Source organism: Homo sapiens, chromosome X (genome assembly GCF_000001405.40).
Source record: "Homo sapiens chromosome X, GRCh38.p14 Primary Assembly".
Classification (NCBI taxonomy): Eukaryota; Metazoa; Chordata; class Mammalia; order Primates; family Hominidae; genus Homo; species Homo sapiens.
Genome location: NC_000023.11, coordinates 111381015 through 111406805, shown reverse-complemented (window position 1 = coordinate 111406805; position 25791 = coordinate 111381015). Strand labels below are relative to the sequence as shown.

Sequence of the window (25791 nt, the reverse complement as noted above, 5' to 3'; positions counted from 1 at the left end):
CACTGCATATTTTCTCCAATCTCTTCAGCTCTAGACAATGGTTAATCTACTTTCTGTCTCCACATATTTGCCTATTCTGCGCACTTCATATAAATTGAATCAAATACTATGTGGTCTTTTGTGCTTCTTTGACTTAGAATAATGTTTTCAAATTTTATCTATGTTGTTCCATGTATTGGCACTTCTTTCCTTTTTGTTGAAGGATGATATTTCATGTATATGTAGACCACCACATTTGTGTATCTCTTGTGAATAATATTTTTAACTGTAAAATGGGACTAGTAACACCTGCCTTCTCTATCCATTAGGGTGGTTGTAAGGTTAAACTTAGATAATAGATATGGAAACATATTGACAAGGTAAAATTATAGCTACAGGTACTATTATTATTAATGATGTGAAAATACTAATAATGGAAATAATAATAATAATGATTATGACAATGATTATGTTAGTAAGGGATTGTAATGGTCAGTGGTTTCCAAACCCGGCTGCCTTTCAAAATCTTTCAGAGCTTTAGAAAAATATTACATTCCTGGGCCACACCCAAGATCTATTGAATCAGAATCCCCAGGGCTAGGGCCCCAGTGTTTGTGTTTTTACAAATCTCCTCACATGACTTTTATGAGCACTTAGACTTGGGAAGTATTAGACTGGGTGATCTTGATGGTTCCATTCACCTAACTAAAGTGGTAGGAGTTTTGAGACGTGCAGAAATCTGTTTTAATTTTTTTCTTTTTACATCTTAAAGGAATAATAGAGCATAGAACACACTGTGTTTTCAAATGGCCACATTATTACATTTTTAGCCTAAAAATAAATGAAATTTAAAAATAATTGGTTAATAATCACTCTGGCCTTGTGACACTCCTTTGTCTAGTGCCTCTTGTCTACGGTTTTCTGCTAGATACAGAAAGTATCAAGGGAAGCATTTTGGATCAAAGGTTATTGATGTCAGTTTTCCCACAGTCCTTGGGTACACCGAGGGTCTTAGTGAAGCCATGTAGGATATGGTCCTCATTAGCTGTATCCCAAGGAGGTCAATGAATAAAATCCACTGGTGGGTTTTCCTTTTGTCATGTCTTTGTTTTTTTTATTATTTTTTTATTTTATTTATTTTTTTTAGAATCTTTCTCTTTCCCTTTATATCTGGTCCAATTCTTTCCCCATTTTCTTGTATGTAAGTATCCAGATCAACCTTGGGGATATCATTTATGACTAGCCAGCTTTTCTGAACCCAAATTGAGACAAGTTCAAGAGTTATTACACAGACCATGGGACAGAATATTTACAATTGGAACAGTCTTAGAAAATCCGAGCTGTGTAGTCACACTGGCTATGATCCAGTTCTTTTACCATAGCTCATATGTTTCATTGAGATGAATCCACCTTCTCACTAATTTATTCTCTAACTACTAAAGCAAGTACATTGTCAAACACAAGAATTTTAAGATACCTGGGAGGGATGCATTGCTAATAGATATGATAATCAAATGTCATTTAATATTTTAATATAATACAGTAAAGTGTCATTTAATATATTCCTTCTTGAGTCAGGAAGCCCTGGAGAAGAGGAGAAAACCCAGGCAGAAGCTTGCTTTTGCACTGAGAAGATACAAATATATATAAAATGCTTTTGAAAATGCAGCCTTCTTAAAGAGAAGGGAGGTAGACATTAGATCATCTCCAGCCCACAGCTTGTTTCATTTCTGCCCTTTCAGCTGTGCTTCCATGATTTCATTCCTTATCCCCTCACCCTAAAGCAGGTTTTTAGTTCCAGCGAATTTGCACCCTGCTTGGCTGTGAAGCCAGCTTTCCCTCTAGGCCCCCAGCTGGTAGGAAATAGCCCTTGGAAGCTGTGGCAGGATGGGAACCCAACTGTGTAAAGGTGCGACACACCTCATCCAGCTCCAAGTGCCAGGCAGCAGGAAGTGCAGGAGGCACTGAGCTCTGGCAGCAGACATTGAAAATGCTGGCAAAATCAGGACAAGGAAGTCTTAGTCTAGCAAAGAAGAGCATTTGATGTCTTTCTAGCAGAAGTGAAGAGTCCTTGGAGGTGGGCAGCTATTTTCTTAACATTTAATTATCCTAACAGCTTTGTTTTCTGAAGCCTGTTTGAGAAGGAAAAGAGAAGATTCCTCCCTATAGACTCTAGGACCTAGAAGGGACTCAGGTGTCACCTAGTGCATTATCTTTGCTTTAGAGAAGGCAAAGCTGAGACTCAGAGACATTAAGTGATTTCCCTGAGGTCACACAGCTTTTAAGTGCCTAGTTGAGATTTGAATCCAGGTCTGTGTGACTCCTAAGTCATCACTCTTGACGACGATAAATATCCTGCTCTCAGCGGGCCTCTGCAGAGGCAGCAGCAGCTTTACTGGGTGTTAGCATAAATCTCCTACATTTGGCATTTGCCACAACTGGAAGCCTCCTTCCAACCAGCAGGAAATCTTATCCTTGAATCACAGGCCCCCAGCAGTGCTCATGTCATATCATAATCACAGCTCAGTTCCTAGATGGTTGCCCTTGATACTTTCTCTTTTTTTTCCTCTTCAGCTTCTATTCCTCTTTTTAGTCTCTTTCTCTCAGCAATTTTTTCCTCTTTTCCTCTTTGCTCTTTCCTTCTTGTTCTCGCTTCTATTCCGTAAGATTAGGGGCTTAATAATAACAGAAATTTATCAAGTGCTTACTATGTTCCAGGCTCTGGGATCAGCATTTTATTTTATTTTATTTTATTTTATTTTATTTTATTTTATTTTAAGACGGAATCTCACTCTCTCCGTCACCCAGGGTAGAGTGCAGTGGTGCGATCTCAGCTCACTGCACCCTCTGCCTCCCAGGTTCAAGCGATTCTCCTTCCTCAGCCTCCCTAGTAGCTGGGATTATAGGCATGTGCCACCACGCCCAGCTAATTTTTGTATTTTTAGTAGAGATGGGGTTTCACCATGTTGTCCAGGCTGCTCTTGAACTTCTGATCTCAAGCGATCCACCTGCCTCAGCCTCCCAAAGTGTCAGGATGACAGGCATGAGCCGTCGCACCTGGCCATGGGTTGAACACTTTTTATCCATCATCTGATTTGTGCCCCACAACAACCCCACAAGATAGGTATTCTTATTATCACCCTTGCTTTGCAAAGAAGAAACTGAAGCCAAGGGAGGTTAGAGTGCACAACTAGGAAGTGTTGGGGACCCCATCCTGACTGACATCACATCAGCTGCGCTTTTTCCATTACTCCATATTCAGCCCAACGAGAGAGTGGAGTGACTAAAATGTACCACTGGAAGGTGCTCAACATAGATTTGGCTGAGGCTGGGCCCTCTGGAAAGTTCTTGGGTGCTATATGATACTATAGCTGTCAGTCATCATGTTCATTTTCATCTGGAGACGGTTAATCATACTCATACTCCAGAGGCTTAAGAGGTTTAAGAGATGGGAGCAAAAAAGTCCAAAGTCCTAATAGGGCTACACAGCTGACTCTCCAGAGGAGACTGGATGAGTGAAATCATAAATATATAGCTTCACACATTTCCACACCACCATTTGTCTGACAGTTTTAAAGTACATGACAAGTTATGGAAAACATCTGACTCAAAGGCAGTGACCTCCTGCAAGGTGCCAGTGAATCTGGTGAACTGCTAAGTCAAGAGACCATTTCTAGGGTTATGGGGGTTATTGGCTGTGAATATATGGAGACACTAAAAGGGCCCCTTCCTTCATCCTTTTAAGTCAAAAATTAAAGACCCCAGCCTATAATTACTTGGGTTGGGTTGAATTAACCAGCAAGGGAGTCAAAGAAATCAGAGCTTCTCTTGGCTGAGGTATTGACCATCTCATCCTGGGTGTCCATGTATGCACCAAGTGGGTAAGGGTGCCTATCCTCACTTAAAACCATCCCTTTGTCCCCCTGTCAAGATAGAACTCTGGGACTGAGGGCAGCTTTGGAAGTCACTTTGCTTATGTTGGATGCCACTTACCCTCCCCCTCCGCACACACACACACACACACACACACACACACACACACACCACGCACACACACACACACATACACACACACATAAATGTCCTCAAAGGTACACTAGAGATTTTGACTGAAACTTCTCTTAGCATTACTGAGAAATTTATTCATTAACATGTCTTAAAGGATTTGGTGCTATGGCAAAGCAATAAATATTTGCAAAGGGAGTGAATTATCAACCTGGTGTTTCTGAATGCAGTTCTCCTGCTGAGACCAAAGGAGAGCCATCAGACTATAATTGTGTTTAATGCTTTCTGTGCACTGGCTAGGGTTTATTTATTTATTTAGGGTTATTACCGATGACTTAAGCCTGATTAAATCACACTGTTTCTGCAGCTCAACCTCTCAATGAACTTCTAGATACCTTGAGGCTAATGTGTTTTACTCAACGAATTCAACCTTTTCCAGTATTCTCTTCCCCAGGCTGAGCCTATCTCTCTTCCTATTTTCTTCAGCTCATAGTCCCAGGTGTCCAGTCCCCTCCTCTTGCCTCTGATCCCTGCATTTCTTTTGCGATATTAGTCATTTCCTCTAGCCCAAGGTAAATGTGAAAATTACACTAGATCCTTCCAATCCATAAATCAGGCTGTATAATGTATTCTCACTTCTTTACCTCATTACTTGTGGCAGCCAAGGGTGAGCACTGGTGAAGATGACCCTGAATACACAGATCTTATGTGCATCCTTTGAGAGGATGGAAAGATGAAGGGTGAGTGGTAGAAACATGAGAGTATTTTTCAAGCAAAAGCTAAGGTGTTTATATGTACTGGTTGTTATTTAGACAGTTTCTCTACCTAGTGTAGCATAAGGAGTAGAGGACACACTTATACACACATATAAACATTCAACATATGCACACACATTTCACATTTCAATATTCCATACTTGGCCATATACTCTGTGCAAAGGATGACCTGGTTTCTTATCAAGTATGTATGTATGCCTGATATACAAGGTTACTTGGTTCATTTTAACTTGGCATAAAAATGTTTTAACTTTGAAAGTTTTCCTTGGTTCATAATATCACAAAGGGATGGGACTTTGAGTCCAAAAATAGGACAGGGATTTTAAGAAATAGAAATGTTAAAAATTCTCCAGTAATGCCCCTGAAAGCTAAACATCCTAGAAACTAACATAAATGTTTAAATTCCAGAAAAAACCATATCAAGCTTGGAACTCCACTTGTTATATTAAATTTAGATATGCTCTTTGTCCTTAGAACCCTTAGCTTTACAGAGTTCTTCAACTAGGTGTGTCATTATATTGAAGGATGTTTTGAGAATTACTCTTGAATTTGGATGAGCCAAGTTTTTAGCCCAATTAGGAATTGCACCTAAGGTTGGTTAGTATCACCATTTATTGAAAAGTTCTACTCCAGTGTCAGTGTGTATTAGTTTGGTTAGAATAATCCATATATCTGCTATTAAACTAATCACCTAATCACTTATTTCTTGCCTTAGGGGAAAGCTATGTCTGTTCCTCAGACAACTTCTTTAAAAAGGTGGAGTACACCAAGAATGTCAATCCCAACTGGTCTGTCAACGTAAAAACATCTGCCAATATGAAAGCCCCCCAGTCCTTGGCTAGCAGCAACAGTGCACAGGCCAGGGAGAACAAGGACTTTGTGCGCCCCAAGCTGGTTACCATCATCCGCAGTGGGGTGAAGCCTCGGAAGGCTGTGCGTGTGCTTCTGAACAAGAAGACAGCCCACTCTTTTGAGCAAGTCCTCACTGATATCACAGAAGCCATCAAACTGGAGACCGGGGTTGTCAAAAAACTCTACACTCTGGATGGAAAACAGGTAGGTACTTTTTCAAAGTACTTTTCCCGTTTTTTCTAAATTCTTAGATGATCATGTTATACCTAAAATATCATTTCTTGTTGACGGACTCTTCCTCCACATCTCATCATCACAACCTGATATTATAGGTTTCATTTGGAGAAAAGGTATTTTTAGCAGGCAAAGCAATGAATCAGGAATCTGAGGCTTTGAAATTCAATCTGCTTCTGATTTACCATGCAGAAAGGTCACTTAGCCTCAGCTTCCTTATCTGCTATGAAAGATGTGTTAGAACCTAGGTTCTATGAATTCTTATGAATATGAATTTAGCTATTATATGATGCAACCTTCATTGTTCAATACATGTGACTGAAAATGATATTTGCCCATTCATTACTTTTTAGATACCCTCACATTGATGCTCAGCATCTATTTTGATAAAAGGAAGTTGAAGTGACCTTCATATGCTCTGAAAGAAGTCAGATACGGGGAAAGCACTGAAGCCTCTGGCTCGTTGTCTTTGCCTCACACTAAACCATATTTATTCTCTTTCTCTTTTCCATATGACATAGCTGTCTTAATTTGGTTCCACTGATGGTTTGTGTGAGAAAGGGACTATTTCAGGATCCTAAAATTAGCCCAAGAAAGATGCTGCCATCTGTTCCCCCTCCAAATCAGGTTCTTCATGTCATTGGTTATACTACTAAAGTGCCACCTATATTAATATCTGGGAAAGAATGCAGCCAGGCGTCTCCATCAGACAGATGCACCATTCTCTTAAGCATAGGGAGCTGTAAATATACAACAAAAATGTTCCAAGGGAATTGGAACAGTGGCTGGTTCTGTTGGCTCTAAAGAGAATTCTGGTCTCCCATCAGAAAAGACAAGTGTGGATTAGTATCAGTCCATATATTCTACCTCTTAAAATGCCTTTGGTGTTTAAACAACTATATAGAAAAGGTATTCCTAAAAGGCGGATTCACTATATATCAAAGTTACTGATGAGTGTTCAAATGCAGACCTGTGCCTCCTCCTATAATTTCTGATAGTAATGTGTGCTCCAAGATTTTAAGTTTCAGGGAAAACTCACCCAGGTACTGTGTACTTTGCAATTTTGAGAAATATTTGGCTTTGTTTCCCATCATTTTGCGATCTGAGAGCTACCTGGACACATTGGTTATACCTGACTTCTGTTTGTTGTACTGAAGCAATGGGTTTGTCTGTGATGTTGGGAAAATCTCCAATTCCCAAGCATTTCTCTAAGAGTGTCTATCTTCTAAGCACCATGTATGTAATAAACAGGAGCTGTCTAAGTATAGGCCTGATTGCCAAAGCCTCATCTCAGAGAAATAGGACATAGAAAGTTTAGAATCATTGGATCACAGAGTTGAGAATGACTTTAGAAGCCATGACATTTAATCTTCCACCTAAGGCATGGATATCCTCTACAATCACTCTATAAGACTATAAGACAGCCTATTTCACTGTTCAACAGCTGTGATTTTTAGAGTTTCTTTATATTAGGCATAAATCTGATTCCCTGTGCCTTCAGCCTTCTGAAGTAATATAGGAATATGCAAATCAAAAACATAAGACTGGGATTAAGAAGATTTGGACTTTAGTCTTGATATTGTCACTTAACCACTTAACTGTCCTGAACCTCACACTCCTTCTCTGTACAAAAGGACTGATCACACCTGCCCTGAGCATGCTCACAGGACTCTTATGAGGATTAAATCAAATAATGGATATGAAAGCACTCTGTAAATTGACACATGGATGTATATATATATATATGCATATAATTCATCATTAAATGAGATTTATGGCAATTTTCATATATTAATAAATGTTAGCTCTCTTTCTCCTACTTTATTTATTTATTTATTTACTTTTGGAGTCAGAGTCTCACTCTGTCACCCAGGCTGGAGTGCAGTGGTGTGAATTTGGCTCACTGCAACCTCTGCCTCCTGAGTTCAAGCAATTCTCCTGCCTCAGCCTCCCAAGTAGCTGGGACTACAGACGCACGCTGCAATACCCGGCTAATTTTTTTGTATTTTAGTAGAAACGGGTTTTCACTGTGTTGCCCGGGATGGTCTTGAACTCCTGAGCTAGGGCAATCCGCCCACCTTGGCCTTCCAAAGTGCTAGGATTATAGGCATGAGCCACCATGCCTAGCCTCTTCCCCCTACTTTATCTCTATCATTCTTATTATAAATTTCCAACATTTGTGAATATATACCATGCCTTGGCATTCTGCTTTTGTTCCAAATAATATATAAAGGGACACCTCCATCTCCTAGGGAAGCAAGCTCCAGTCCAGTGATGCATAGGGTTTTGTCCTACAGCAGGCCATGCAGAGTGGCAAGCTCTCTCAAACTCCTTTAAACATCAGTTCCCTTTCTTTGGGGGACATATTACAAAATACCAGCATATGATATGACATTCATATAGAGAAATAGAGTGGTGCCCAGTGGATCTGAACCATGCCCTTTCAGGCATCTGTACCTCTGTATATACATTCCCTTTCTTTAAAATGTCTTCCTCTGCCCACCCTGACCCCTGGAGGTCATCTTATAAGACCTGGTTCAAATATCACTTTATCTTTGAAAATTTCTGTCTCTGCTAAGGAGGGTAAAAGCAATCCAAACCTTTTTTTTTTTTTAATTAATGCTAAGCTCCTGGTATATTATGGATGCTCTATAAATGTTTTTTGATTGAATGAACTGACATAAACAGATTCTCAGATGGCCCAGGTAGATGTTTTGAGGACCCATCTTTCAATTCCCCAGACATTATCCTTAGGTCTTTCAGAAGAGATAGGGGGCCTCCAAAGGAGTGCATATTCCACCAGGTGGCTTCTATCTGGTGGTTTACTTGGAAGTCACTGAGGGCAGACATTTAAAGCAACATTTCCCTAAATACATTCTAAGGAGAAATGTCTCCATGTCCCCACCCCAAAAAGCTCTCCAAAGAGAATTCTGTGGGCAAATAAGGTTTGCCTTATTTGCAGTAAAATGCTGCAAATTGTGTGCCATTCTTAGAGATTCCAGTGCTCACTGGCACATTGAATGCTCTGAGAAGTTCTACAGCAAGGAAATCCATCCCAATCCTACTTAACCACAAACATTTTTAATGAAATATACACACACACATACTCACACATACATATATGTATATGTATGTATATATACACACACACATATATGTAGATATACACACACACATATATGTAGATATACACACACACACATGCACAGAGTGCACTAGAAAATGTTGTTTACATAAAACACTGATAATTAAGAACTAACTACCGTAACTTTAATGGTAATATTGGTATGCACAGGGTGACCACAAATTAAACGTTGTTTTGTTACAGCAAAGACATTAAATAAAATTTGGGGGTACATGGACAAACCTACTAATTACAAAATAGATGCTGGGTATAGTGAAAGTTGGTGCCAAATTCAAAATTTTGGAGCTCAGCTCATTTCCCAGGTCTGGTGATGACAGCACTAAAGTTAACACCTGTCAATCACTTTGATTATTAGTGGGTATTCGTACTGCTTGCGAATATAATCTTTTTTGTGGAGGCTGAAGTCACATGTATGGCAATAGCTTGACTTGCTTGGATGAGATTCCAATGCATGTTTTTGGCTATACGTGACACAAGGCACTTATTTGTAAAGAACAAAGTATGGTCAAGACTATTTGTTATGGAATGATTTATTCATGAAATCAAGGCCATCGCTTGATTTCAGTGTTCACTATAACTGGATTCCAAATCGACCAAACCAGGTGGTTTTCCCTCTTCATATAAATAATGATCAGCTAAAAGAGCCCAGTTGGTTATTGCAAATTTATTGTTGCTTCTGTAATTGTGTGTATCATTTGACTGATTGGCTCACACTGATTGACAAGCAATCTGCAGACATGGCTCATTTCTTTCTCTCTGTTTTTATTTTGTTTGAATGTGTCTTTTAGAGCCCTTGATCTTTCTAGGGCTTATGTTTGATGTTATAGAAGTTTGGTTTCCTGACCTCTTGCCTCTGAGATATTTGGGGTCTGTGTAGACAGGAAAGCCAACCACCACTAGTAGGAAGACACCCCAATTGATTCCTCACCTCAATAAGAAGTTATTAATGATATAAGAAGTAGTTGGTAGGGCTCTGGCTACTCCCAGGGATTAAAATGGACTTCTAGGAGGTCAAAGAGGACATGATAGAGGATTGGATGGTGATGCATATTAGTTCACTTGCAGGTGAAAATTGTTCTTTTGATTCCTTGGCAGCTGGAGTGGTTGTGGAGTGTTGACAAAATTATCCAATTATTAATTTCCATAACTAAAGTACACATTGACTTTCATGCATAAAAGTGATGGATACATAAAAACTGGGACCCAAATTTCTGGTTCACATGATAGTAGTAGTTTAATAGATACATGTTCTGGCCTTAAAATTAATTGCAGAGCTTTAATAATAGACTTCCAGCTTTTTGGCATCATACACAGTGGTGCAGCTGGTCTTCACAACATCCATTTTCATGCTACACTGATTGACATCTCTAGATTCAGTTTTGTCCACACCCAGAATCTGTGCAAGTGAAGATTCATTATTGCCTCAATATACATGCCTAAGACATAAGTATGGCCTTTAGTGCTTGTTCTAGCTTTGTTAGGCCAATTTTCAATTGGAAGGATTTATTTTATGTTTTTGTCTGTACCTTTATAGCACCGACTACTTGGATCTGGGATTACAGGTCTCAGAATAACAGAGGAGAGGTTTAAGCCGATTCCAAGATTATCCATAGCCTTGGAAACTAGTACAGGGGTTTTAAGGAAATGGTTGATGCATAATACACAGATGAGAGCATGAGGGATGTTTCAATTGCTGCTTAGTATTCTAGGAAAGACTTGCCCTTTCCACGTTGCCATACAAAAGAACTGGGTGCTGTAAGCACAAAGGCAATTGCAGGAAACACAGCAAGACAGATTGGATTTAACCTTGGAAATGTTGAATGCACTTACCAAGGTAGGTGTGTTTTTCCTTTGCCTACATAGCCAGTTTTTCTCTCCCCTGTTATCTCTGCTTTCCCAAGTAATATCTGATCTTATTTATACTCCCTGGCCTCCGGCTCTCTCAGAGCCAACCTCTCTCTTCTCCTAGTGTTATGACCCTGTCAGTCAACATTGGGCTCATTAGAAAAGGCCACATGGGCATAAATTATGCCTCAAGAGGGAGGTCATTTATCATTGGCCTTCACTTGAGAAGATCAAGGCTGGAAAGTTCATGTTTTTATTACCAAAATTCTCCTTCTCCAACCTTTCAGAGGTTCCTAGAGAAAGGCTTTGGGAGGATTGGCTTGAGCATGAAGTGAAATAGAACAAAGGTGAAAAGCCAGGCTGGGCTCTGTGAAAGGAGACAGTTTGCAAACTACCATGTCATATGTGGTGGTAGATTTCACACTTTAAAAGAGTGGCCAAACATCAAATATACTGCCCTTCTGGAAAGAAAAGACTAAGTGTAGCCTGGTGATCAGTTATTTCTTCAGTAATTTATCCTCTTAGAGTTTTATTGTTGTTGAGATGCTCCTGGCTCTGAGCAGTGACAGAGGTGTGACTTGGCCAATTCAATCAAAAGCTTTGGCATAGAATTCCAGTCTCTTGTGCTGACTAGTCTGTCACTGTCTAGCATTCAGCAAGTGGAAAGAGCCCTAGGCTGGGATTCAGAGGCCTGAGTTTTAGTCTTCACTCTGTTCTTCCCTAGCTATGTAACGTGGAGCCAATCACGTCTCTTTTTGGGCCTTAATTTTTTAAGGAGCCTTAGTATATGACCTGTAAGAGTCCTTCTAGTTCCACAATAACAGAGTATCCACCTCATAGTGTTGGTTCTGTCGAGACATGTTTTCACTCTTCTGAATGTACTCTACCTCTCTATGCTCCTAAGGATTGCCAATGTGATGTCGTACTTACTTTGGTGGATACATTGCTTTCCAGGATGGCCTCTAAAAGGTATTTGCATAATTCTTATATTCAGATCTTTCTTGCTGCCTGCAATGACATCACCAAAGAATATTTTCAAACTTGTAATTTTCGTTTGACCCCCTTTTCTTTACACTGTGGATGGTATAAGGAGCAGAAGGCAGAGGACTCACAAAACAAAGCAAGGCAAAAGCCAGCCTGCTAAAATTGTGGCAAGTGTTTGACAGTGCCATTATTAAGCTATTTATATCACAGTGGTGCTATTTTCAGTGCTAGGGAAGGATTATTACTAATGGGGGTGGTTAGCACTGGTGCTAAATGCCTTGCTATTTCTTGAGTAGACTGAAGAGATTCATCAAGTGGGGATTGATCTATCCAGGGATGCAGGCTGTTCCATTTAAAACTGTTGAAGCAATGGTCTTTTTGTTCTTAGTTCTTTATTTTCATCTGTTTCATTATTGTCATTCCCTCAAAGTGGGAGAAAAAGCATTGTCTCCAAAAACAGTTTTTAAAAACAGCTTTATTGAAATATAATCCCCACATTATATATTTCACTCATCTTATGTATAAAATTCAACAGCTTTTAGTATATTCACAGAGGTCTGCATCCATCACCACAATCAATTTTAAAATACTTTGATTATCCCAAAAAGAAACGCTGTACCCTTTAGACATTGCCCTCTAGTTCTCCGATTCCACTTCCCCATCCCTAAACAATCACTTATCTGCTTTTTGCTCTATGGATTGTCTTATTCATGACATTTAATAATAATGGAATCATGTGGCTTTTTGCACCTGGCCTGCCTGACCTAGCATAATGTTTTCAAGGTTCATCCATGTTGTAGCATATATTGGTACTTCATTTCTTTTATGTGTGAATAACATTCTATTGTATGGATTTACCACACTGTATTTAGTCATTTATCTATTAATGGACATTTGGGTTGTTTCTATCTTTTGGCTATTGTGATAATGCTACTATGAACCTTCATGTACAGATTTTTATGTAGATACATGTCTTCATTTATCTCGGGTAAATATCTCAAAATGGCATTGCTGGGCTGTATAGTGTGTTTAAAATTTTATGAAACTGTCAAATGGTTTTCCAAAGTGGCTGCACCATTTTCCATCCTTATTCGTATTGTATGAGAGTTCCAGTTTCTTCACATCCTCACCAACACTTGTTATCTTTTTTTTTTTATTAGCTCCATCCTAGTGGGTGTGAAGTGGTATCTGATTGTGGTTTTTCTTGATTTGTTTGCATTTCCCTAGTGATTAATGATTAATGATATCACACATATTTTCACATGCTTATTGGACAATTGTATATCTTCTTTGGAAAAATGTCTGTTCAGATCATTTTCCCATTCTTTAATTGAGTTATTGGGCTTCTTATTAATGAGTTGTAAGAGTTCTCTATATATTCTAGATACAAGTCCTTTGTCACATATGTGATTTGCAAGAATTTTCTGCTAGTCTGTAGCATGTCTTCATTTTCTTAATGGTTTTCTTAATTTTTCAAGAGAAAAAAAGCTTTTATTTTGATGAAGTCTGATTTATTAATTTTTCTTCTATGCATTATACCTTGGGGTCATATCTAAGAAATCTTTACCTAACCCAACATCTCAAAAATTTTCTCCCATGTGTTCTTTTAGAAGTTTTATATTTTTAGCTCTTAGATTTAAATCTCTGATCCATTTTGTGTTAATTTTTGTGTACAGGATAAGAGTCAAGGTTCTTTTGGGGGAGGGGCACATAGATATCTGATTTTTCTAGCACTATTTGTTGAAAAGAAAAGATAAGACAGTTTTCTTAATTTAAATTAAATATGAACAGTGGTTCATATAGCCGAGTCCTCTGAAGGTTTTTAGAATTTCTAAGAACTGTGGGTGTGAACTAATGTAACACAGGAGCTTCTCCTATGCAGATGTTGTGGAACAGTACTCTACTCTACAATACTCTACAATACAAGTACTCTACAATACTCTAAGGCTGTATCAGTAAGGCTGGCTTAGTCTTATTTTGTAGGGAAAAAAGAGGTCTTGATAGGAGAAGCTAAAATGGGCTATTGTTCCTTGACAGTGCCCTGCCATGTTCTAGACTCCTAGAGTTCCCACCCAGACCTATCTGAACTTCCCTGTCAAATATCCTATACACTTCTGGTGATGCTAAACAGGATTGGGGGAGGGGAGTAAGGAGATGTCCAAAATTGTTGGGGTTATTTTCTTTTGTAACATCTTGAGATATAATTCACATATCACATATTTTGCTTATTCAAAGTGTACAGTTCAATGATTTTAATATGCTCACAGATATGTGTGACCATCACCAAAGTCAATTTTAGAATATTTTTATTACCTCTCCTACCCTCTATCCCCCACAGCCCTAAGCAACCACTAATCTACTTCATAGTTCTATAGATTTGCCTTTTCTGAACATTTTGTATAAATGAATCATATTTTATGATTCATGTATATATGCTAAGTGACTAGCTTCTTTCACTTAGCATAATATTTTCAAGGGTCATCTATGTTCTGTCATGTATCTATCTGTACTTTGTTCTTTTTTATGGCTGAATAGTACTCCATTGTATGGATATACTACATTTTGTTTATCCATTCATTTGTTGATGAACATTTGGGTTGCTCCATCTTTTGCCTATTAATAATGCTATTATAAACATTTGGGCATGATTTAGGTATAGACATATATTTTCATTTCTCTTGAATATATATCTAGTAATAGAATTGCTGGGTGTTGAGGTTTCTTGATGTTCTGTCCCCCAACCACCAAACTCATGTTTCTAAAATATGTACCCCAAGGCATGCTCCAAACAAAGAAATTCACAATCTTTTTTTTCTATGTAGATATTTGTCCCCCAGAGTTCTTTCCTAAACAATATAGAAGGAAACATGAAGGTTTCTTTATTAACTTTTCTTAAAGCTAGAACAAATCCTAAGAAGCTATTTTCTTGTTCTTTTTAATCTGAGTTCTACCTTGGCCCTCCTAACCTTCCAGAATCAAAGATGCATTCTAAACAGTTGGGACCTTCAATCCAGTGGGTCACAGATTCTCCCCCAAACCACCAAAGTTTCTTATTTTGAAAAAGGAACAGAAAAAGGAGCTTCTAGAATTCCAGTCTATCAATTTTTCCTAGATTTAGAATACTTTTATAATCGATACCACATATTCTACCCTCTTCAGGTCTTGTGATGTTAGCTCATGAGATAAAAAACAACTTGGGTGTAGGGAGCCACAGCAGGTCTTCATCATTAGCCCAGTTGTCATCGACCAGGACAATTTGCTGTCCAGGGGACACTTGGTAGATATATTTTTGGTTGTCACAACTAGGGAAAGGGTGCTGCTGACATCTAGTTGGTATAGGCCAGGGATGCTGCTGAACATCTTACACTGCACAGAACAGCGCTTCCCCCCACAAAAAAAGAGTGATCTGGCCCCATATGTCTATAGTAGTTGAGAAACCCTGCATTACAGGTAAGGTGCCGGGCAGACACAGCAGAAGATGAAGCTGAAAGGAAGGCAAAGGCAATATTTAGCAATGACCTTGTAAACTGTGTTAAGGAACTGGTATTAGTCCATTTTCACACTGCTATAAAGAACTATCTGAGACTGGTAATTTATGAAAAAAAGTGGTTTAATTGACTCACAGTTCCACAGGCTTAATAGGAAGCATGACTGGAAGGCCTCAGGAAACTAACAATCATGACAGAAGGTGAAGAGGAAGCAAGGACCTTCTTCACATGGTGGCAGGAGAGAGAGAGCAATGGGGAAGTGCCAAACGCTTGCAAACCATCAGATCTCATGAGAACTCACTCAGTATCATGAGAAAAGCATGGGAAAAATCTGTCCCCATGATTCAATCACCTCCCACCAGGTCCCGCCTCCAAAATTGGGAATTACAATTCAACATGAAATTTGGGTGGGGGCACAGAGCCAAACCATATCAGAACTTGATTGTTACCATGTGTTAACAGAAGCCAGTGAAGGATTTTTTTTTTTTTTTTTTTTAGCAGGATATCACTATTGCCCAGACTGGAATGCAGTGGCATGATTTTGGCTCACTGCAAGCCTCATCCTCCTGGGCTCAAGCGAGTCTCCCACCTCAGCCTCAGCTTCTTGAGTAGCTGGGACTACAGGCATGGACCACCACATCCAGCTAATTTTTGTATTTTTTGTAGAGACAGGATCTCACCATGTCGGCCAGGCTGGTCTCAAACTCCTGAGCTCAAGTGATCTGCCCGCCTCAGCCTCCCAAAGTGCTGGGATTACAGGTGTTAGCCACTATGCCAGGCCCCACTGAAGGATTTTAAGCAGGGGAATTATATGATCAGATATGCAGTTTGAGTAGGTCACTGTTGTTTTGAATTTCAGGAAGACATAACTAGTAGAGAGTCCAGATAGAGGCTGTGTGGTAGTACAGGCAAGAGAATAGAAGGATCTAAATCGAGGCAGCAGTAGTGGAAATTAAAAAGGAGAAAACAAAGCCAAGAAATATTTGTGAGGTAGAAACTGGAGAACTTAGTGATTAATTGAATTTGAGGGTGTATTAATTGTCTATTGCTGTGTAGTAAGTTACCACAAACATAGCAGCTTAGAACAACACTCATTTATTATGTCACAGTTCCGTAGGTCAGAGTTAAAGAAGGCTTGACTAGATTCTCTGTTTAAGACCTCACAAGGCTGAAGTCAAGGTGTCAGATAAGATAGGCTTTTATCTGGAGGCTCTGGGAATGAGTCTGGTTCCATGCTTGTTCAGGTTTGGGGCAGATTTCAATTCCCATGTCCTTCTTAGATGTCAGCTGAGAAATGTTTTCAGCTTCTAAAGGTTACCCACATTCTTCTCACATGTCCCCTTCCATTTTCAAGCCAACAACGTACATCAGATTGTTCTCATGCTTAGAATCTCTCTGATTTCCTTTTCTGCCACCAGCCTCAGCAAATTCTCTGCTTTTAATGGGGTCATGTGATTAAATTGGTCCCAACTGGATAATCTCCCCTTTGATTAACCCAAAGTTAACTAATTTGGTAACATTAATTACATAAAAAAGCCCTTTTGCCATGAAACATAACATAATCATGGGAATGGCAACTCATAATTATAATTCAAAGAGAGGAGAATATACAAAGGTCAGGGTCATTGAAGGGTCATTCTTAGAATTCTGCCTACCACAAGTGAGGGAATTGGAGGACTCAGGTGGCTGAGGTTTATGGTTCAGTTATGTGGGTGGATGGTGGGGCCACTCACTGAGGCAGGGAAAGCCAGGGCAAGAAGTAGGGTTATTTATTTATGTATTGACAGAATCTTGCTCTGTCGCCCAGGCTGGAGTGCAGTGGCATGATCCTTTCTCACTGCTGCTTCAAACTCTGGGGCTCAAGTGATCCTTCCACTTTAGCCTCCCGAGTAGCTGGGACTACAAGCGTGTCTCACCACACCTGGCTATGGGGTTTAGATGCATTGAAGTTGGGGTACTTTGCTACATCTAAGTGGAGACTCCAGAAGGAGAAAGTGATAGATATGGATCTGGAACTCAAGAGAGAGGTCTTGGCTAGAGATATAGGCTTGGGAGTAATCTTCAAACAATGGTAGTTAAAATCAGGTAAGTAGATGAGCTTACCAAGGGTGCATGTGAGAAATTGTCCAAGGAAAAGGCCCTGTAGACATTTGCATTAAATGGGTGGGTAGGCATAAGAGCCCAGGAATTGCTAGAGAAAACCATGGAGAACTAGATGAAGATGTATCCAGAGAACATTAAAAGGCAGGTGCGGGCAGCCGTGTCAAATGTAGCAGACAGGGTCTGTTTCAGATAAAGATTTAGGATAGTAAATCAATAAAATCCAGATGATTTGAATAGTCCTTATTGCTGGGAACAGAAAGCAAAATTCTCCAGTAGACCAGAGGGCAAACCTTGGCTCATAAAGACTCTCAGAGGTGACTAGGCAGATGGAGCTATGACTGGGTCAGGCTGTTGGATCTGTTTCTTGGCAGCTTCCCATGCTCCAGATCTATCAAAACTAGTCTGTCCAGTGTCCCATTTTCTCTTTGCTAACTCTTGTTTTATATGTAGTTGGTTGCTAAAATGTCCCATGTAACTTACTTATGTCATGTATACACTATAACATATAGAGCTAGCCCTTAGTCCAAGTGTGTGCTCTTGTCTTATCTTATCACTTAAAGTCCTAACTCAGATAAATCAGACATTTTCTGAGTCTGATTTTCTCAAAGCCTTCATCATAGTTCATGGATTTAGTTGGTAAGGCTCTAACAAATCAATCCTCACTGTGTTAGCTCCTATCAATTTAGAGCACATTTCTCAAATTACGCTATATGTAACACTAGTCTGATCAAATATTCTGTGGTCAAATAAGTTTAGTAACATTGCATAGTATAGTCTCCTCTTGGAAAAAAGACTCCAAGAATCCCTCTACAAAGAAACCTGCTTGTGTTTAGACCAGTATTCCCCAAACTTGTTTGAACACCAAACCTTAAATATAAATCTATGACCATAGGGTAGAATGCACTTTGGGAATCACTGGTCTTTGCCTCAGGTATTTATTTGTATTTTAATTAGAGAATCTTGAAAAGGAAAAACCTTCAAGGCTGAAAGGAATAATTAAATTGAAAGAAAACAGGCACCACTGCATTTTGATAGGGCTTATAAACTAAATCAAAAAGGGCTTTGTTGATAGAGTACCAACAATCACTGCAAAGGTAACACCTATTCACCCATGGTAAAGGCAGGACTTCAGAGCATCCATCTCTGATATAAACTATAGAAGGAAAAGGAGAAATTGAACAAAAGGGGCAAATTTTCTAGAAGATGTTTGAATAGTCCCCCAAAGTTGTAAGAGGTTAGGAAAATCCTATTGATCATAGGCATTAAAGTCTGGCTTCTCTAGCCTTAGTGGTAAAGAGGAAGTAATATCAATTGCCAGGTTTAGAACCTTCACAATAGATTTAGTCCTATACAAACAAGCACTCCTTCCACTCACCACACCATGCTGCAGAGTCTCACTGGAGGAATCAGTCAGGTTTACTAATTAGACTTAACTTCCATAAGTAGTGTTTACCATTTAAATAGACTGCACACTTTCTATTGCACCAAGCCGATACTTCTCCAGCTGGCAATAATTTGGAAGACCCTAGGGGTCTGAATGGCTCGCACAGCATGATAATATCCCTTAAAAGAGGTTTTGAGCCAGAGACCAGCACCTCTCTAAGTCTCTTTGTGTCTGCATACACACACTTGTGCCCCTGTTTCTTTTAAGTATTGGCTGTCTCATCTGATGAAGTCGTATATAAATATTTATATGTCAGAACATTTCTGGTCTTACTCACCAGAGACATTACAGCCTTGATAAAAAGCCTCCCTCTGGCAGTATTTGCCTCCACAGTTTATTTAATATGGCAGTTGATAGGTGAACTTCCTCTTGCTTTTGCAAAGAGAATGGAGCCTTGCCTTGCTTGGAGTTTCAAGTGTTTGACTTGTCTCCTGTTGGGAATTGATGTTTGTGCTTTCCCAGATTTCTCTGATTAAAAGAAGTGTGAGTTCTCTAGCAGGTCATCCTACCCTTTAGATTTTGGATCTTTAGGAATAGTTGATAAACTTAGGAATGCATTATGCTTCTGGTGGGCCCTAGGCACTTTTGCCTTTGTGGATCTCTTCCTCCACTAAAAAACAAACTACCATTGTGCTGATATAAAGATGTATATATTAATATTACATTTTAAAGCATTTTTACCAACCTAAACGTTTATTTATGTTTCTGGTTTTCAAAGAAATTAAACCCTTTTCATGGGTCCATAACAGTGCTGTGGGCCCTAGGCACTTTGCCTACCATACTTAACAGATAATCAGCCCTGGATATACAGAGCTATCTGATTTCTGGGCTGGCATTGTGAGGTCACATGGGCTAAGCAATGAATAAGAATGGTATGACTCACTGAAGGTTTAGTCTAAGAATGTGGTAGCTTCTTGGATGTACCAGCTACTAATTGAGATGTACCAAGGAGTGCTTCTCCCCTTCCTTTGTTCTAACATGTGTTACCCGCTATTCAAAGCATGGTAATAAAACGCTGTCAATAGTCGGCATTTTTTTCTGGCTCGGTGGACTCAGAGTTGGGAATAGAAATCTGCGTCCTCAGCATCTTCCAGGAGAGGCTTCTGGGAATGATGGATGGTGTCATTCATTTTCAAGCTGAAACTGTTTCTGTCATTTAGCCTGTGGTCCTACAGAAGGCAGCTGAGTGAAGGTGGAGTGAAAGTTGATTAGCAATGGGATGAATTACTGCAGTTCATCCAGAGAAAAGAGGGTAGGGCTGGTTTTAATCCATGTCTATATTAGTGGTAGTTAATTTAGGCAGCTCTATGTCAACCCCAACTGTAATCTTCCTTAGCAACAGCCACCCCACCCTGAAGTAGGGTTCTGAATCTGACCACTGCTGTCACATTGACTGCTGAAGAGTCTGTTTCCTAACGGTTTACCAATAAACCCTATCTGGAAGCTGGTGGTGGTTGGGATTAGACACGAACTGATGTAAATAGAAGATAAGAATTTAGAGGGGACACTCTCATGGGGTTTTACTTTACATTGCCACTTTGCTTGTAGATATTTTTCTGGCTTGGTCCGGGGCTGGCACTTGGACTCCAGAGGAAATAACTGTTACTGAGCAAGCTAAAAAAATTCACACACACATTCCCACTCAGCTTAACAGCGCTGGCTGTGGTTCAGTTCACCGAGCGGTATGGAGGTTGGCTACTCCACAGGGACCTTGCTGAGACCTGAGGTCAGACAGCAATCATTCTCCTTCCCATCTTGCCAAGCAAAGAAAAAAAAATTGTTTAAATCAATCAATAGGTTCCCATCCCCCTAGCTGGATGTGGCTTTCAAGGATGACAGTATCTGCTCCATACTGCCCTTGCCCTTGTCAAGTCCCAGCCTGAAACAGAACAGAATGATGTGGGGTAGCTAGTTTGTGTATGTAACACACACAGCATAAACACGAAGATTCTAGATCCTGGAAATCTTCATACAAAAGGCAGAGCTAGTGAGAGATAGAAAACAAGAGTAATCAGATTGAAATATAATTAGAAAGAATTAAGGCTGATTAGAGTTTACAGTCTCTAGGAAACTTCCCTTTGGAATACAAAGGAGAACCTGATTTCCCTTCCTTCCTTCCTTCCTTCCTTCCTTCCTTCCTTCCTTCCTTCCTTCCTTCCTTCCTTCCCTCCCTCCCTCCTTCCCTCCCTCCCTCTCTCTTTCTCCCTTCCTTCCTTCCTTCCTTCCTTCCTTGCTTTCTTGCTTTCTTGCTTTCTTGCTTTCTTTCTCTTTCTTTCTTTTTCTTTTCTTTCTTTTTTGACAGATTCTCGCTCTATTGCCCAGGCTGGAGTGCAGTGGCATGATTCTGGCTCACTGCAATCCCTGCCTCCCAGGTTCAAGTGATTCTCCTGCCTCAGCCTCCCGAGTATCTGGGATTACAGGTGCCTACCACCACACCTGGCTAATTTTTGTATTTTTAGTAGAGACGAGGTTTCACCATACTGGCCAGGCTGGTCTCAAACCCCTGACCTCAGGTGATCTGCCCACCTCCACCTTCCAAAGTGCTGGGATTACAGGTGTGAGCCACTGTACCCAGCCAAGAACTTGATTTTCCATTAGTCAAAATACAATAAATCAGAGGTCAGCAAGCTATAGGTTTTTTAAACAGGACAAAAAATATACAACAGAGAAAATGTAGGACCAGAAAACCCAACATATTTATTATATGGGCTTTTTGTGGTCAGGGTTCTCCTGTGAAACAGGACCAATAGGATGTATATAAAGAGATTTATTTTATGAAATTGGCTCACACAGTTTGTGAGGGCTGGCAAATCCAGGGCAGGCCAGCAGGCTGGAGACGCAGAGAAGAGTTGATGTTTCAATCTGGAGTTCAAAGGCACTGCCTTTTCCAGGGCATTTGCCAAGCCCCGCAACACAGGAATAAATTGTGGAAAAGAGCTTTGGTCAAGGGACTCAGAGACTCCTGCTTTGACACTAAAGAGCTGGATAATCTATGAGAAACCACAACCTCTCTTTGGATCTCAGTTTCTACTTTGGTAGAATATATTCCCAAAAGTTCCTTCCACAATGCAAACATTCTGTGCACTTCAGTCCTCCCTGTACATAAAGTTCCATGATAACATAACTCAAATTTCAAACTTTCCAAAATAGCCAATCTTAAGCTGCTTCCTGTCAATGTCTAGAAATAATTCCATGCTGGCAAGAGTCCCAGACATCAGTAAATTTTAATTATCTATCATATAAAGAATAAACAAAATGCCCAATAGTTCCAATTTTTAGTGACTTTCTTAATAGTAGGTTCCATTAATAGCTGACTGTGATGGTCCTTTATAATCATTAAACCGCAATGCATCCGTTATTTGCAGAGTATTGTACTAGCACTTTGGGAGACTCTATAGGGACCAGAAAATAAAGTATCTAGTTTTGAGGTGCTTACAATCTAGTCAAGAAGACAAACTCCATACCTAGAGTAAAGTCTTATATCTTTAGAGTAACATATGAACAACTGTCAGGGGCAGAGGCATTATCATGTTCATAGATATATCCTCAGGACCTAGAATAGTGCCTGGAACATGGTATATGCTCAATATATATATTGAATGAACGAATGAATGGAGAGTGACTTAATAATTAGTAAGTACTAAAATAATGCATACGCACTTAGATTAGGGCCAGGTGGAGGCTAATTCATGAAGGCCTTCTAATGGAGGAGAAGGTATAGTGAGCTCAACAGAGGAAGGCAATAGTCCAAGGGCAATATTTCTGAAATGTTGTATTTCTATAGATAAAGGTATAAAGGCTAAAGTCAGGGTTAATAACCATACAGATTTAGACATTTGGTAAACTAAAGGCAGCTGGAAACAAAGGTCTAAGCTTTGAAGTAGAAAGACATGGGTTAGGGTTTATCATCTATCTTAGAAGTGATTTAGTTTTTGAACTTCAGCCGTCCTTTAACCCCTCTGTGTCTCAGTTACCTCATCCTTAAAATTAAAATGGCATCTAGACTCAGAATATCGGAGCTGTAAGAGACCTTAGTCCTCATCCAATCAAGTGGGTCTCAATTTTGGCTGTCCACTAGAAATCTTGGGGAACTTTTAGAAGGTTCAATGCCTAGACCTGACTCCAGACTAATTACATCAAAATCCTCTGGAGCTGAGACCCAGGCACGAGTGTCAGTATTTTTTAAATCTCCCTAGGCAAGTCAATGTTCAGCCAATATTGAGAACTATTGTTTTAGTCCAACCCTCTCATTTTATAGATGAATAAACTAAGGTACAGAACAGATTAAGGGACCTTGCCTAACCTACCTCATAGGGCCATAAAGGACAATATTAGGTCATATAACTTTAGAGCTGTAGACATCAAAATACCTGTGAAGGTGCTCTGAATAACATAACCATTATTCATTTGTAAGGGATGATCATGCCAATAGAATCAGAAAATACTAATTGGTAACCAGGCAAAGCATCCGCTCTGTCAATAAATTATACTAGTAGGACAATGGATAAAACTTTTATTCTTTTTCATTTCCCAGGTCTCCTTGAATTATCAAATGAGTAAGTGCTCCATTTCAAAAGCTAGGATATAGATTATTGGATTAAAATTTTGGCAAATGAATATGTCCTGAAAATTTATATTTTTCACCAAGAAGAAACATAAACATCTTGCACAAGGACATAAATCTATAGCTGGGGGTGCTGTTAGTCTAGTTCTAGCATATTTCTAGCCTACATCATCTGTTTGGGGCATAATCATGTCTGGAAGAAAAGGAATGAGGTTTGGGGATTTTAGCATGGTATCAGGCATTTTTGCTTAGGAGGGCCTTCATTTGTTCCTGGCTTGGGAGTCTTTGGCTTACACTCAGCTTGTAGATGCCACATTTTGTAGAGGATGGAAACCAAGAGTAATTTTTATTCAAGATCCATGTCCCCATTCCCACCCTTTCCTTATTTAATCGGATGCACTCTCTGTGATTCATCCTTCTATACAAAATTTGTTGAGCGTTAAGTGCATTTTCTATTCCCCTATTTAGCTCCATATTGTTGAGTTATTCTTTGTCTCAGAGACCATTTGTTGAATGACTCCTAGAAGAGAAAATGAAAAAAAAATGTGAGATGATTCCCTATGCATGCCCATGGTCACCTCTTTTTGAGCAGTTTTCTGATTCACATACCTTGTTTGAACATCAGGCATACTGAGAATGCCAGAGAGTTTATCACTTCATTGTTTTGCAGTTATTTTTTTATGTGTGTTAGGTCTATCTCCCCAACAGATCCTGTCTTGCACTCTCTTGTATCTCTCCCTTCCCCCAGTTCCAGTATTTAACATGTTGTTTTTACAAAATCAATGCTTGAGCCACTTGTGTGAACAGCTTCCAGTTGCTTAAGGCCATTCAAAGCCCTAGTAAAATGCTTCTCTGCTGGGCTCATTTGCCATTCACAGAAATTGCTAAAGGATAACATGTGACTGTATGTGAGGAGAGGTGGAGAGGTTGTGATAAAAGTATTTTGGGATAGCACTTGTCTAAAGCAATGTTTCCCAAACATGGCTGTGCATCAGAATCACTGGGAACTGAATTGTTGGGGGAGGGACCTGGAAATCTAGAAATTTGAAAGCTCCACAAGCAATTCTGATAACATCCAGGTCTAGAAACCACTGGCCTCAATGTTCTCTAGTGCGTCTCAAACTTTAATTTGTGTACAAGATTTTGCATTTTTAACAAGTTCCTAGGTGATGCTGATACTGTGGGCCAGAAGACCAAAGAAGGCTAGAAGGTAGTGGTCCTCAATGTGTGGTTCATGTGCTAGCAACATCAGCGTCATCTGGGAACTTGTTAGAAATACAAAATCTCAGTTCTCACTCTAGATCTACTGAATTCAAAATGGGTGGGGCCCAGCATTCTGGGTTTCAACAATCTTTGCCAGTAATTCTGACTATTGCCAAAGCATGAGAACGACTGCTATAAATAATATTCAAAATAAGGTACAGGGATGGTGCAGTGGATTTAAAAAAAAAGAATCAAAGGCTTGCTTTAGATAGCTACATTAGAAAACCAGAGTAATATTCTTGCATCATCAATAGCCCTTTAGAATGGATTAGAAATAAGAACCTATATCTTTAATACAAGCTGAAACTGTAGGCCTCATCTCCTTTGTTGATTTTTGTTTTACGACACATAGCCTAATATTCAGCGTAAGTGAGTGTTGAGGAATTTCAACTTTGGACAACCATAGTTACTGGGAGTTACGTCTTAATAGAGACATTTCCAATTTGCAAGTAAATGTTGGAGAATGACATATTCTGCTTGGACACAAAAGACTGAGAGAGAAAATATGCTTGTTTTCTAAATAGGATTTCTTTGAAATAGGTTCTGAGTAGAGTTGTTTTCTTCACAGAATGGGCAGAACAAATGGCTGCCTTCTTAAATCTTCAGGGCAATTCTGCATTTTTTCATGTCAGCCTCCCCACCTCCTCCCATGAAAGCCTTACACCCATACCATTATGTACAGATAATTCTCTGTCATCCCAAATTCTGTTTAGTGTCCCAATTGATATATATTCCTTTGGGGTTCCCTGTGTCATGGACTATACTACACTAGTACTTTCATTCAACATTATGTCCTGTCTAATCCTTTGCACTATATTTTGGATTCCCCCATACCTTGATCCAAGAAACAAATGCCACACAAATAATTCAACCTTGTTAAGTTTAGCTAAAATAAATATATACTGAAAACACAAGGACATCATATTGGCAGAGTAGAGTTTGGAATATAGAAAAGAGAAAAAAAAAAGAAATTATATTCCAAGCAGAAACCTAACAGAATTCTTTCCAGAACATCATTTCTACCATTTAAAAATTTTTAAGAAACAAAATGTTGATGGTAAAAACATCTTTGATTGGGAGTCAAAATACCTGGGTTTTAGTCATAGCTC

The 25791-nt window shown here is 39.4% G+C and overlaps 1 protein-coding gene across 11 annotated transcripts in view; it reads left to right on the top strand.

Moving 5' to 3' along the window:
* Nucleotides 1-25791, top strand: part of DCX (doublecortin) — a 118414-nt gene that overhangs the window by 5387 nt on the left and 87236 nt on the right. For all 11 annotated transcript variants that reach the window (NM_001369373.1, NM_178153.3, NM_001369372.1 and 8 more), the window contains exon 3: nt 5476-5816. In NM_001369373.1, the coding sequence (NP_001356302.1) occupies nt 5476-5816 (341 nt within the window). The remainder of the gene's footprint in view (nt 1-5475; nt 5817-25791) is intronic.